This window comes from Homo sapiens, chromosome 8, assembly GCF_000001405.40.
Source record: "Homo sapiens chromosome 8, GRCh38.p14 Primary Assembly".
Classification (NCBI taxonomy): Eukaryota; Metazoa; Chordata; class Mammalia; order Primates; family Hominidae; genus Homo; species Homo sapiens.
This window is the reverse complement of record NC_000008.11, coordinates 132,130,376-132,145,991: the sequence shown is the minus strand read 5'-3', so window position 1 is coordinate 132,145,991 and position 15,616 is coordinate 132,130,376. Positions and strand designations below refer to the sequence as shown.

Below are 15,616 nucleotides of genomic sequence, written 5' to 3'. Positions count from 1 at the left end.
GCCACATGCCCTCCCTTTGGTGCCACAGTCCAGTCCTCATGCCCCTCGCACCCACATGCAGTGCTTCCGCCTGGAGAGCTCTTGCCTCCTTTCTTTGAAATCCAGCTTCTTGCCTTTCAGATCTCAGCTTCTGTCTCCGGACCACCATCATCTTAATCCTTGATTACTGAAACTGGTTTCCTAATTCATCTTCCCATTTACTCAAGATGCCTTCCTGAGCCACCCTACCTGTCAACCTCCCATTCTTCATTACTGCATTCTCTTGGTCTCCTTGTCAGATTTCTAGCAATGAATGTGTCTGTTTACTTATTATATGTCTTCTTGACTTTATCATAAGTTCATTAGAGACAGAAGTCTTCTCGACTTTATCATAAGCTCACTAGAGACAGAAAACCACATTGGTTTTAATCACCAATGTATGTTAACAAGTTACCTTGAGCCTGGGATTTACTAGGTGTGGAACACATTTTTGTTGAATGAATAAATATTAGCTTCATTTTACAGATGAAATTGAATCTGAGTTAATGACTTTCCTAAGTGAAATATAAACTACAGAGCAGAGATTGGAACTCAGTTCTCTTACTTCAAAGTCCACACTCTTTCCACTATACAGCAGTCCCTTTCTCAGCTGAGGTTAGACACATTTTGTTAATCAGAAGATTGAATGTTTTATTACTTCCTTCCTTCTTTCAACATTGTAATAATACTTTTAGTGCTTGCGACATTCCAGATACTGTGCTAGATCCTGTATATACAAGTTGAACATGGTAGTTTCAGGCCCAAAAGCTTACCATTCAGTTTTTCAACCTCAGCACTATTGATATTTGTGACAGATAATTCTTTGTTGGGAATTTCCTGTGCATTGCAGGATGTTTAACAGCATCCCTGGCTTCTCCCCACTAGATGGCAATAGTGCTCCCCATTATTATATCAGCAGTAGTTGTGACGACCAAATGTCTCCAGGCATGGCCAAATGTGCCCTGGCTGGGGGTTCAAAATCACCCCTAGTTGAGAACCACTGATTTAGTAAGGGAGTCCCTATTAAGTGAAATATTTCCCTGTAGTGGCCGAGTGCCATGGATGAGAAAAGCCTGAAGTGGACTAGGGGCACAGAGAATGGATGTCTAATGGATCTCAGTAGCCACTAGACTGAACGTCCAGATGTGGGGCTGATGCTTGGACCATGTTTTAGGCAAAAGTAAGAGTCATTTAGATGAAAAAAAGGGATGAAGATTTTCCCAGGTCGAGTTCACAGCACATGCAAAACACTGAATGTGAAGAAACTACACGGAGTTGAACATGGCTGAAGTTCCCCATGCTGATACCTGAAGGAGGAGCCCAGGACAAGAGCCATATTGTCCAGGATAGAACAACCTTGATTTTCCTTTTCCATGCCCAGTCCACCTATTTGCAGTTTTTACAACTCATATTTGGAAGTTGTTTGCCTGCACTTAACATGTCAAGAGCCCTAGCTTTCGAAGAAAATCTGATGTCATCTCTGGGGAAGGCTTTTCTTGCAAGATCTGCAGTGCCCTCCTAGAACAACACCTTAATTATGCACTGGAAATCCATACAGCGTAGAACAGAGTTGGGTTTTGAGTTTCAGCAGTGAACTTTGCCTTGCATTTGATTATCCTTTGGGGTCTTGGATTTCAGGCAACACAATTAAGAAGTAAGCTGATCATCCACTTTGCTGGAGGAAGAATTCCATAAGCCTCTTAGGTGCAATGGCTGTGAGCAATTCTGAGCCGAGACTTCTGACTTTGTTCCACGCATCTGGATTCCTAACACCATCTAAACTGCCATCTGTGACCAATGGCGTTTTAAGTGAACGTGGCCAAAACAATCCAGACCGTTTGAGGTTGGCAGTGAAGCATTTAAATATCTAACAAGCAAATCCTAAATCCCAGCACAGATAGAACCAAGAGAGTCCTCTCATTATCTTCCTTATATTCAACAATTATACTGAAACTTCAATTCAGGAAAAAGTGGCTGCTATTAATTTTGTCTTGCTTAGTTTATCTGGAATTAAGCTCCTCATATACTTATCTCATACGGAAGTGGAGTAGAATGACAATGTTGAACTTTTTAAACTAGCATTAAGAAGTATTGTAAAATAATATATGAATCTCCCAAACTCATTTCAGTTCATTTAAACAACAACAACCAAAAAAACCTTTATTTGTGGCCCAGGGAATTGTATCCATCCTTTTCACACACATCGTCAGCCTTCTACTGCTTCTGTGGGAAAAGGATTACTTACTCAGTTAATAATGACAGCCAGCATCTATTGAGCGCTTCCTGAATCTCAGTTGGCTGAGCACTCGACATGCATTACCTCATTTAACCCTTAAACATCTATGAAAAGCATGGGCTTATGGTCATCATTCTGCCCATGAGGAAACTGGAGACCAGAAAGCACAAATGATGTGTCCTAGGTCACATGGTTTGTCAGGATGCTTCCACCAGGCTGGTTTTGCCCATGATCTTAGTTGCCGTACTGAACATTCAGATGTTCTGAGCAGGGAAATGTGCTGTGTTCAAAGATAGCCAGGCAGAGTCTTTGCCTTGCTAGCACTGCATAGTCCAGTGGGGCGGGCAGGCATGGAAATGTACTGTCTCCATACAGCGCAGTGCCAGAAAGACTTCAATGTGTGTTCAGCTCAGTTCCTGCTTCATTCACTATTTTTAGCCCATGGGCTCTGTCCTATTAGTCATTTATCTAGTAGCAGCCAGGAAAGCAATTCCAAAAATGTTGACTTCAGTTCAAGGAAGATGGAGCTGGCTGAGCATTGGCGTTTTTCTAAATTTATCCTGGGCTGGTTATTAATGGAGTTCCTCAATCAAACTGCTGGAACAGTGCTGGGTGAGAGAGAACAGATCCAGAGGAAGTCAGGAATAACAACTGCTCACTGCTCATTCATATACTCATTCATTCATTCACTCGTTTGTTTTTCAAAGGTTTCTTAATGCCTTCCGTATGCTGGACTGTAGGCAAGAAATGTTACAGAAATTATCACATGTAACACTCCCTAACCCTCTATGAAGCAGATGTTGTTAGGCCGCCATGACAGACGAGGACCTGGTGTTCAGAAAGCACAGGGTGACTGTGTGGCAGAAGGAGTGTTCACTCCCCTTCCAGCAGCCACAACACCATGACCTCCACACTGCACCCAGCTTCAAAGGTAGCAGCAGCTTCTGGCAGGGGCACATGACTAGCCTAACCAGACATGCTCTTCAGAAAACACAAAATTATCGCAAACCCATGCAGAGCTGATTTGATCACCCATATTCATTCACTCTCTCATTTATTTCACAAGTACATGAGGGAATGCCTCCTGTGTGCCAAGCTCTGTGTGGGGTAAGGGAGCAGAAGCTGCTGCATTGAGTATACCACTGGGCGAAAACACGCAATGTGGCACTCTCTGGAAAGTACCACAAAAAAGGACTTTATCCTTCGTGCTCACTAGGGTAAGGGGGCAAAAGCTGAGAAATGGAAGAAATTAACATGTACAGAGCACCTGCTCTGTGTCACACTCTATGCCGAATCCTGGATAAACATCATCTCATAGCAACCAGATAAAGCAGGGAATGCTTATCCCTACTTTACAGACAAGGTAACTGAGGCTCAAAAAGGTCACAGATTTGCCGAAGGTCAGCCAGATGGGAAGGGTGGACTTGGGCTTAAGTCAAGGTGCAACTGGCTTTTTGCACCAGGGCAACTTTATATTGGCATTATTAACCATTTTCTTTGTACCAGGAACTCTTCTAGAAGTATCATGAAGCCCATGGACCCCTTCTCAGAATAATTTTGAATCTATAAACAAAATACAATATACAAAAGAAGCTGATTATATGGAAACAGCATTATCAAAGTCTTTAAAATTTTGAGATGTAGTCATATATGTGCATCTTTGTGATGAACCTGGTGGCAGATTGAATACCACCATAATTTGGAAGCCAGCATGAGCATAAACAGTACCTTGAAATAACAGGATATAAAATTATCTGTGATTTCTGTTGTGGCAAGTCTCAGGCATTTAGGATATTACTGGAGTTTGTTGCCCACATTCATACTGGAAAGAGATGCTAAATTTTCATTAGAAGTTAGTAAATTAAAAATGTATTTTTCCCCATCCAAACTCACGGACTGCCAAATTCTATCCATGAGGGTCTGTTTGTGGACACCAAATTAAGAGTGCTGCTTTACGTCATTTGTGTTGTCAGTTTCTTTTCAAGGAGGAATCCTTTGATAAGGATTTGTCTGTGTAAATCACTATCTGGGTACCATGGGATGATACACAGGAAAGGCAGGAAGTTATTGATGCAGGAAATGGGCATGGGGAAAGATGAATCTCTGCAGCATACTAGGATGAGCTAGGCAATTTATAGCGGGCACCTCATGTAAGCTACATTTAATCGTATGGGAAAATTGACATTCAGAGAAGTCTTGCCCAGGGTATAAGAGCTAGCAGGCTGTGGAGCTAGGATTTGAACCACGCCCTGTCCGATTCCAAGCTGCTGAGTCAGATTCAGCACTGTGAAATGCACGGTCCCCATTTCTCCTTGGAGGAGAATGTGTGAGTCTTTATGGAGGGATGGGAAATTTTAAGAGCCTGCACTGAAGGAGGAAAATTGTTCACTTTTGCTTATTTTGTAGCCAAAAGCTGGGTCTCTTGGATCGGGTTCGCCTTTCTAATCCTCGTGGTAGCAATACTAAAGGAAAGCTATTTACCCCTCTGAATGTAGATGCCATAGAAGAAAGTCCTTCTAAAGAACCAAAGCCTGTTGGCTTAAACAATAAAGAGCGTTTCCGCACGGCCTTCCGCATGAAAGCCTACGCTTTCTGGCAGAGTTCTGAAGGTAATGCCTTTTTATCTCCCTCCCTGTCTCTTCCACTTCTTCCTCCCCCAAGTCCACTTCCTTCCTCACCTCTCCCTTTGCCCACTTAAGAACCTTTGACTCCACAAGGTAACTCTCTCCCTTCCCTCGACAAGCCAACTTCTTGCTTCCCTAACTCCTCCTGTCCCTTGGGCTGAGGCATTGTGATGTATTCCCAGGAGTCTAGGGCTGCAGGCTCCCAAGTTAGGAGCCTGGAAACCTGTCACCTTGGTTTCTAAGGGTCCGCCCCGACCCCCCGCCCCATGATTGGATTGTTATGGAGGTCAACTTGAAGGATGGGGCGGTGCCAGGTGCAAAGCAATTTAGAGACCAGGGCACGGGAAGAGTGGCAGAAAAGCGCCCTCTGGAGGCTGTAGGAGCCATGGCCTCATGTGCCTCTTTTACTTATGCAAAGGGAGGACATGCAGAAAAGCCTGTTTCCTCAGTGTCTGAGCCCACCCAGGCCCTCAATCCTCATTGTATCATTCAGTTCTCTCCAAGGCCTCTGATGTGTGCGGCTCAGAAAGTGACTTCTCCAAGGTCACCAGGATAGAGACTGACAGAGCAAAAGTCCCAGCTGAGGCCTGCACAGTGTGTGTTGTTTGCTGGCTTCTGTGTCCTTTGCTGGCTTCTGGCTCTGGGGGCCACTCTGGAACTGCGGAGCTCACTTCTCCTCCCTGCTAGCCTTTTCCCTCACTACCAGTCATGAGCTGCGCACACTTTTGACTTGGACTTCTGGGTAATAGAATGAGGGTGCCAAGAAAGGCTGAACAGCATCACAGCTTGAGAATACCGTGGAGTCTTGCAACGTGGAAATAAAGACTCTGGGGATTGACACATCCAGAGGCGTGGAAGGCTTTGACCGAACAGTGGGGTCCCCAAGCCTTTTCCAGGTCTGTGGCCTGCCGTTCATATGTGTGTCTCCCTCCCAGATGCCGGGACAGGTGACCCCATGGCGGAAGACAGGGGCTATGGGAATGACTTCCCCATCGAAGACATGATCCCCACCCTGAAGGCCGCCATCCGAGCCGTCAGGTAATGCCCCCACGGTCCCACCTGTGCCTGTGTGCCTCCCCCGCTCCAGCTCAACTCCCACAGGAAGGGGCTTATAAAATTATCTTGCACTTTGGGAAGGGGGAAGAGAAGCCCCTCCACTAACCCTGAGTTAGGTCCCTGAAGTATGTAAATACTGTATGCTGCCCCAGAAAAAATGATCCAGACGTTAGCAAGTCATGATGGGTGACTCGTAGGTACCTGCCTTGTTATAAACACGCCCCACAGCCCTCCTGACAGTATTTCCACCTGCTATGTTCTGCTCTGTCTGTAACTACCATGTATTTTAAAGGGTGTCAGAGTGGAGGGTTTTCTTCCTGTAGAGGCTTCTTGCTCAAAATGGTTTTTCTTCTGCCTAACTTCATCCATATAGTTTGTTTTAATTAGTTCGCATTTTTAACAAGATAATAAATTATAGTATTTTTTTGTCTGTATCAGCAGAGACCATAATCCATTCTACCTATTTCTGTTTTGCTTTAGAATTCTGCAAGAAAATGAAAAAAAGTATGCTATTACCTAAACTTTATCAGCATGTAAGCACTTCATAAAGGTAGCAGTGAATTCTAGAAACTAAGGTGAATTCTCCAACTGATCATGGTATTTTCCGCAAGATTCCCAGTCCAATAGATAGGGAAGCACAGTAGTGTTACAGTGTGTAGACCTCAGCAAAGCCTTGGACGTGGATTTTCCTGACACCTTTATGTAGGATATGACAGAAATGTGGTTGTATGAAAACACAGCTATCTGGATTCCTCACTGGCTGAAAGCCTTTATTCAGAGAAAACCAGTTAATAAACCTGTGTTGACCTGGAGGGTGATCTCTGCTGGGACGCTGCATAGTCTAGTCTCTGCCGTCTTCTTCTCTTCTTTTAGCATTTTCATTGATGTCTTAATTCAGAGGTCATCAAACTTTTCTTGAAAGGGTCGGATAGTAAATGTTTTAGGCTTCCTGGTCCATAGGTCTCTGCTGCAAGTGTTCAGCTCTATCATTGTAGCACAAAAGCAGCCATAGACAGTGCCTAAAGGAATGAGTGTGACTGAGTTCCAGTCAAACCTTACTATCAAAATCAGGCAGTGAGCCAGAGTTGGCCTGTGAGCCTTAGTTTATAGATTCTCACCTGTATGGAACTATGTAAAGAGAAGGCTTATAAAGTGGCACAAAGATGGGAAGGATGGCAAGCAAATTAGATAGTACCATAATCAATATACCAAAAATAATGTTTAGAGGCTGAAGCCACGAGCTATGACAAACAAAATGAACTTTGAATGCACCATTAAAACGACTTGCGCAAGCACCAGATGGAAGGGCCTGGGAAGGGCTGTGACCTCCTGACACTGACCTGTGATTAGGGATTTGAACAAACTCTGTGCTCAACAGAAGTTAACTTTATGATGAGGCTCAGGGAGGAACCAATAAAGGATGGAGGTGAGGCTTTGATTTCATCTACCAGTTCTGGGTGCCCCACTTTATAAGGAACCTGAGAAAACTCAGGGAACAGAAACCAGGTTTTCTTTTCTAGGAGCTCACAAGTAAAATAATTAAAGAGGCTCTTGAGGATGAGATATATCAGCTGTCCTCAAATAGCAAGCAGTGTGACAGTGATTAAGAGCACCAGCCTTGTCAGCACCCTGTCTGGGTTTGAGGACCAGCTCAGCCCTTATTAGCTATATGGCCCTGGGATGATGCTGAAGGTTCAAATCACAATCACATCATCTATAAATGGATCTGTTATCAGGATTGTTCATAAAGCATTAATTAAGCTCATGGTCTGGCATACAGTGAATGCTCAATAAATGTTAGCTCTTATTAATACTATGATTTACTTATTATTCAAATGATTGAAGGGAGTAATCCTGATGGAGATGTACTAACTCTGTGTGTTCCAAGGGGTAGAACCAGAACCAAACGTTGGAAGTTCTTCCAGCAAGCTCTTTTATCTTTGGTTCTTTTCTCCCCCTGCCCTGGAGTTTGCTAGCCTTCTGTTATAGCTCCCCGCACTCTCCACATGGGATGCACAAATGCCTCTACTTTGCCTTGCAGAATTCTACAATTCCGTCTCTATAAAAAAAAATTCAAGGAGACTTTGAGGCCTTACGATGTGAAGGATGTGATTGAGCAGTATTCTGCCGGGCATCTCGACATGCTTTCCAGGATAAAGTACCTTCAGACGAGGTGAGACAGTCACATCTGGAGGGACTGCGCTCCCCTCAAAGCCCTATGAACCTTAGAGTTTAAGGTGAGAGGTATTCAGAAATAATTCAAAATGCAGGGAGAGATTTTAAGAAGACAAATATCCACGAAGCCTTGTGGATGTCTAGGCCAACAAAGCACCAGATCGGACAGACTGTGAAATAGCTGTATGACATTGCCATGGCCAAGGTCAGCACCCTGATCAGGCCTGTCAGAGAGGAGAAAGCACACATTTAAATGGCTTCTGACTGTGATGCTTTCGATGTTGCCAACAAAACAGGATCATCCGAATTAAACCGAATCCAGCTGCCTAATTAATTCTCAATACAATTCTTTACCATATTTAAAAATGTTCATCAGGTATTACTTATAATAGTGAAAGATATGGAAATAGCATCAATGCCTAACTAATAATTGCCATCATTTTTATTGAACTCCTGAGTACTCCACCTGCGTGTTTATACTCCCTTATGAAATCACAAGATATTGCATTAGAGTGCCATTTTTCCAATGAGGAAACTGAAGCTGAAAGGACAGAGGACCTACCCAGCTAGCAGGGAGCAGAGCTGGGAATCAAACCAGCTCCAACTGATTAGAAAGTCTCTATTCTCTCTAATACACCATATTTCCTTAATTATAAAACAATGGGTAAGGAAAGAATGGTACCTGCTCTCATTAAAATGTTATGCAGTCATTGGTTGGGCACAGTGGCTCATGCCTATAACCCCAGCACTTTGGGAGGCCAAGGCAGGTGGATCAGTTGAGGTCAGGAGTTCCAGACCAGCCTGACCAACATGGTGAAACCCCCTCTCTACTAAAAATACAAAAAAAAAAAAAATCCAGGCATGGTGGTGCACGCCTGTAATCTCAGCTACTTGGGAGGCTGAGACGGAAGAATCGCTTGAACCTGGGGGGGCGGAGGTTGCAGTGAGCCAAGATTGCACCACTGCACTTCAGCCTGGGTGACAGAGTGAGACTGCATCTCAAAAAAAAAAAAAAAAAAAGTTATGCAGCCGTAAAATAATATTTAGAAAAAGTATATAATGAGATTTTTTAAATTATATGATTTGTGGATATATATGCATGATATAATTACCAATAATACATGCGGACATGTGTGTACACATATATATGCATATGTATATATCTATAGTGCATATGTATGTTTATATGTCATGTGTGTCACAGAATAAATATACTCTGCCTAGACCTTGTGATGATGTTAACTAATATATAGGTATGATATGATTCTAAACACTTGCACACATATGCTTATTCAGAAACACACAGGACATGCACACACTTTCCCATATCAGGGCCTGGAGAAAAGGAGTAAGACTTCCCCTGAGAGACTGCAGTGGCTGTACTGAGATGATGACTCCATATGTGATTTTTTTTTTCTACTTTTAAAATGTATCAAATCTTTAATAAGCTGTAAAAATGCCCTTTGAAAAAGCATTTTGTAAAAACGGGCAGTTATGATGTCAATAGCCATGGAATAACAGTCAGGAAACCAAAATCCTATTGCAGTTCACTCTCTGACATGTGTGAGATTTCCAATGGACACGCGTCCTCTCTGGGCCTCAGCTTCCCTGTCCGAGTGATGTTGTCCCACTGGAGTGTCCTGCTAGAGAACAGGAACATCACACTGACTGGGTTGGAAGTTAATGATGCTATCTGTCAGCTTGGAGGTGTAATTCTCCATGGCCTTTCTCTTTTCTTTTTTTTTTTTTTTTTTTTTTTTTTTTGAGATGGAGTCTCACTCTGTCACCCAGGCTGGAGTGCAGTGGCGCGATCTCGGCTCACTGCAACCTCTGCCTCCCGGGTTCAAGTGATTCTCCTGCCTCAACTTCCCAAGTAGCTGGGACTAGAGGCGTGTGCCACCATACCCGGCTAATTTTTTATTTTTAGTAGAGATGGGGTTTCACCGTGCTGGCCAGGCTGATCTCGAACTTCTGACCTCAGGTGATTCAGCCTCCCAAACTGCTGGTATTACAGGCGTCAGCCACTGCACCCAGCAGGCCTTTCTTTATCCCTAACTGGAATATCAACTTTGACTTCCTAGTATAGTGGCAGGCACAGAGTCAGTGCTCACTGCCTGCCGAATGAATAGATGTGTGAACAAATTTTGAGCTTAACATGCTGTTATTTATGCAAGTATGGCTCTCCGAGAGACGAGGATGAAGCATGATGTCTAAGGCATGCCAGACTCCAAAAATACCAGCCAATTTTAATAAGCATAGAGTGGACTATGACAGTGGCATAGTTTTTGCTACTTACTAAGCAAATGTGTTTCTAGCATTTGTGGCTGGAGGGTGAACATCTGGACCTCTGATTGCATATCCCCAGCCATGCTGACCTTGCGGGGCAAGAGAGAAAGAAAGTGCCGTCAGTGGAGGAGCAGCTGGGTTTCCAAGGAGGAGACGGAAGGAGCCATGACTGTTTCAGGGTGCATAGTCTTAATGGTCCTGGACCTGTGATAAGCCTTCAAGCCTGCTTTCCCTCCCACCCCGTCCCAACCTACAGCGTGATAGGCAACATTTCTTTCCTATTGGTCCAGGCATAGAGCAGGAACCAATGACTCACAGAGTAATACGCAGCCATAAAAAAGAACAAGATCATATCTTTTGCAGGAACATGGTTGGAGCTGGAGGCTATTATCCTTAGCAAACTAATGCAGGAACAGAAAACCATATACAGCGTGTTCTCACTTACAGGTGGTAGCTAAATGTTAGGAACTTATGAACACAAAGAAGGAAACAACAGGTTCTGGGGTAAGGTGGTAGGAGGGAGAGTAGCAGAAAAGATAACCCCCATGACACATGTTTACCTATGTAACAAACTTTCACCTGTACCCCCAAACCTAAAATAAAAGTTATTTAAAAAGGAGCTGGTGCCTCATGCAGAAATAGAAATAGGAATGGAAGCTGGTGTTGGATCTATCTTTCTACTGGCCAGAGATGCCCACAGAGCAGCAGTGATGTGTGCAGCTGAATATGTAGCCTAGGATTTGTCTGTAAAGCTCCCTAACTAGATGTTTTTGGAAGGGATAGAAGAATTGGAAGAAAAGACAGGTTTGCAGTCCACCTATGACATTTCCTATGAAAAAAAAAAAATAACAAGATGCAGCCGTCACCTCTCTCAGTGGTTTGTCTGCCTCCCTCTCTCCTGGGATAGAAAGATGCTTTCAGTATCACCAGATCAAAACAAGCGGAAGAATATACCGAGGTTATAGGTTCTCTCTGGCTCTGTCTTTCTCTCTGTAGCTAGTATGCACTCTCTCTTTCCTCTCCTCTCCTCCCCTCTCCTCTCCTCACTTCTCCTCTCCTCCCCTCTCCTCTCCTCACTTCTCCTCTCCTCTCCTCTCCTCTTATATATTCCAAACCCTTATCTCATTCTAGAGAGAATAGAATGATTTGTTTTCCTGTCAAAACAAAGCTCTGTGTAATTTAATCCCTGCTCTGTTTGTTTCTTTCAGAATAGATATGATTTTCACCCCTGGACCTCCCTCCACGCCAAAACACAAGAAGTCTCAGAAAGGGTCAGCATTCACCTTCCCATCCCAGCAATCTCCCAGGTGGGGCCAGTGGACATGGACTGATGGGCCAGGGGTGCAAAGTTTGTAAAGCATCCCCACCCCCAAACCTCTGCTGGGGTCCTTTATGTGGGTGAAGTTGTCACTCTCCTAAGTAAAATGAAGAAAGAGTTTGAAGCTTGTTTCAGTTGGTGGCCATTTGAAAGGTTTCTGTACAAAAATGTTCTCACTCCTCTTCCCAGACCATGTGGATGACATTTCTTCCTGTAACTTTTGAAAGTGATAATAGCCCCACCTGTTTCACACTGTTACAAAACAAGAGGAGACTTATGAGCTTTATTGAAACAGGAAGAAAACTTCATATCAGCAGAACCCAGAGCATTCTCCATCCTGCATAATTACCTTTGAGTTGATTGATACCCCTCCCAGGACAAAGCCAGAGAAGACACTCAGATATCAGCCCCCTGACAACATTGTAACACAGAGAGCTTTGTCCCTTAACAGAGCAGCTCTTCTCCTTCCAAAGCTTCAAAATTTTGAATAAGATGTTCTTTAGAAAGTCCACTGCCTAAATTTACATCTCTTTATTCCCAAATGTCTTCAAGGCAGGTAACACAATGAGTGAGGGAGTTAGGCTTAAGAAATATTATGAACCTTCCACTTATAAAAGAATCAAGAGGCCGGGCATGGTGGCTTACGCCTGTAATCCCAGCCCTTCAGGAGGCTGAGGCGGGTGGATCATGAGGTCAGGAGCTCGAGACCAGCCTGGCCAACATAGTGAAACCCCATCTCTACTAAAAATACAAAAATTAGCTGGGCGTGGTGGCGCCTGCCTGTAGTCCCAGCTACTTGGGAGGCTGAGGCAGGAGAATCGCTTGAACCAGGGAGTCAGAGGTTGCAGTGAGCCGAGATCATGCCACTGCATTCCAGCCTGGCAAAAGAGTGAGACTCCATCTCAAAAAAAAAAAAAAAAAAAAGAATCGAGAGCATTAACGTGATGATAGAAAGCAACTTAATATTTTAATATTTAACCTCAGTCCTGGGGATAGAATAGGGAGTGATGGGACCGTGGGCACCTGGAGAATGCGTGCCCCATCTAAAAGAGGTAGGAATGAAGTCTCTACCTTCTTTTAGAAATGAGCGCCCTACCTTCTTTTAGGGATGCAGATCCTCTGTTTCCAGAAAACAGAATATCCAGCTTTTACATGAAATTCTCAATTTTTGAGATGGCTTACATGTTTTAAAACCCCGTGCAGGCCAAAGAAAACACTAGCCAGCTGGATTTAGCACATGGACCACCAGTTTCTGACATCTTTTTAAAATTTAGGGCTTCGCAGCCAAAGACTATCCTACTAAGCAGGATTCAGCAGCCTATGAGAGAGAGAAATCAACTATTGAGAAAGTGCCTAGCATGAATGGTTTCTAGCAAATAGCTAGACTCCCTGAAAGTTCTATCTGCAAAAAAAATAAAAATGTTGAAACTAACCAGAATTAAGCAGATATTAACAGTGGATAACCAAAAATCAAATTCAGCACACATTTCAATTCCATTCCTCACCAGTGTCATCTTTTGCATCATGTTCAAGATTTGGGATTCTTCATTCTTATTAAAATTGGCCAGATGAAATATTTATACCCACTGTAAGTAATTTCAGACATTAGATGACCCCTTCTCCACCTGCACACACACACTCAGAGTAAAAGTCTCAGATCTCAAATCTAAGAATGAAAGGCTAAGGAATTTAATTTAAAGGAACTAGATACTCTAGGTACTGTTAGGTGCTTTATAATGTTTAACACAAAGCAAAGCCTCCTTAATAGCAGCTTGATATTTGGCTTCAAATTTTCCTACAGTGGAGGTAAACATGAGATACCAGTGTTGAATGCAGAAAAACTCTGACTTTTCCTGACTCACATATGCCTCCAGAGTTGATTGGTGCTCTTTTATGCCACACAAGTGTGAGGGTGAGAACGATGGCTCTGTTGGCCATGGCCTGCCTAGCCGAAATTACCTTGCATAGCAAAAATAGATATAATGATCTTATAGAAGTGTTCGCTTCTTCTTAGGAATGAACCATATGTAGCCAGACCATCCACATCAGAAATCGAAGACCAAAGCATGATGGGGAAGTTTGTAAAAGTTGAAAGACAGGTAAGTCTTTTCTTCCTCTCACCAAAAACTGGATCTGTGACATTTATTTTCAAATGCCATTTCTTTTTTTTCTTTCTTTCTTTTTTTTTTTTAAGACGAAGGTTCACTCTGTTGCCCAGGCTGGAGTGCAATGGCGCGATCTTGACTCACTGCAACCTCTGCCTCCCAGGTTCAAGTGATTCTCCTGCCTCAGCCTCCTGAGGAGCTGAGATTACAGGCGCCTGCCATCATGCCCAGCTAATTTTTGTATTTTTAGTAGAGATGGGGTTTCACCATGTTGGCCAGGCTGGTCTCGAACTCCTGACCTCAGGTGATCTGCCCAACTCGGCCTACCAAAGTGCTGGGATTACAGACATGAGCCACTGCGCCCAGTCCCCACCATTGTTTTTCAAAGGGAGATAAGATACTTGAGTACTACTACCTACCATTCAAAAAAGATATGGAAATCAAATCACTGATTCAGCATTTACTGAGTGATCACGTGCAAGTTAATTAATTGTTCTGAGCCTCAGTTTTCCTCATCTGTAGTATGGGGATTATAATACCCTATTAGGTTGCTGTGAGGACTGAGTTGATACATAATATTAGCGGGCACAGTGGACACTTGATAATAGCTACAATTATCAAGCATTTCATGGTGAACCCTTAGGAAATGCTAGTGACCTGCCACTGCATGTTGTGTGTCCTCCTTTTCTCAATGTCCAGGCAGTGGGTTGCCTGCGTGAAGAGGCCGGAAGGAGGGCAGGCACAGGTGAGATCCATTCAAGGTGGAAAGAGAAACCCGCTCACTCACAGCACCATGCAGCTCACTCTTGCTTTCACAGCAAACAGCTCATAATCTAGCATCATCTGCCTAACTCTACATTAGATAAATGGTACTGCCAGTTTTTCAAGGATCATAGTAATCCTTTTGTTTTATTCAAAACCCTAAATGGGACCCGTGCAGGAGAGGTAGAAGCAAATCTGAATTATTCCTTTTTGTTGTATCAAGAATTTTGTTTTCATTTTAAATTTTAATTTATAATTTCCACTCTATTTCTCAGTGTCTGTTCTCTTGCCTGTGAAATAGAGATAATAATAGTATCCATCTTGGGGGATTGTCATAAAATTCACAAAAGTCAATAAAGTGCATAAGACAGAGTCAGATTGTAACTTTTCTAACTGACCCTTGTCAGTTATTATTGAGGCTCAGATGCTATCCTGGCATCTGCTGATCATGGTGCTCATATCCTCACCTGTAAAATAGGGTGATACACCTGACGACAGTGTTTCCTGGTGAGTTGTGAATTGTCAAAGCAAGAACATCACACACGTGTGCACATACACTCATGTATATTCATTCACAAAAGTTCAAGTAAGGTGCCAATTTAGGCAGGCAAGAGCAAGCTGCTAGGTAGGGTCTTCAGTTCTGAGAAGCTCAGTTCTTGCTAACCACTGCCCTTGTATTTTTAGGGCTTAAATCACCATGTAGAAGAAACATAGACTAACAGTCCACATGCTTCTGTCTAAGGAAATGTTCCTAAATTGAGAACTCTTGCTCCTTGACCCGGGCAACATTAGCAAGGCCACTTCCTCCTCTAGGGGACACAGCAGGCCTGTAACACTTCAAAGCATCTCTCTGCTTTCCGCCTTTGCTTCCTAGAAGACCTTGCCTAGGTTTTCTCTAGATTAACATTAATACCTGGTGTGCAAGGCTTGCAAGTAGGAGGCACAAAATAAATTATTAGCTGTTTCTATTATTAAGAGTTGCAAGAATTATCTTCCCTTCTGAAAAGTAAATACAGTATTAGAATATTTCCTTCCG

The 15,616-nt window shown here is 43.3% G+C and overlaps 1 protein-coding gene across 5 annotated transcripts in view; it reads left to right on the top strand.

Annotated features, from left to right (window-relative positions):
* KCNQ3 (potassium voltage-gated channel subfamily Q member 3) overlaps window positions 1–15,616 on the top strand; it is a 360,235-nt gene that overhangs the window by 335,104 nt on the left and 9,515 nt on the right. For 4 of the 5 annotated variants that reach the window (NM_004519.4, XM_011517026.3, NM_001204824.2 and 1 more), the window contains exons 10-14: window positions 4,661–4,863; window positions 5,814–5,916; window positions 7,976–8,107; window positions 11,604–11,702; window positions 13,728–13,812. In NM_004519.4, the coding sequence (NP_004510.1) occupies window positions 4,661–4,863; window positions 5,814–5,916; window positions 7,976–8,107; window positions 11,604–11,702; window positions 13,728–13,812 (622 nt within the window). The remainder of the gene's footprint in view (window positions 1–4,660; window positions 4,864–5,813; window positions 5,917–7,975; window positions 8,108–11,603; window positions 11,703–13,727; window positions 13,813–15,616) is intronic. The other variant, XM_047421769.1, reaches the window with a different exon arrangement.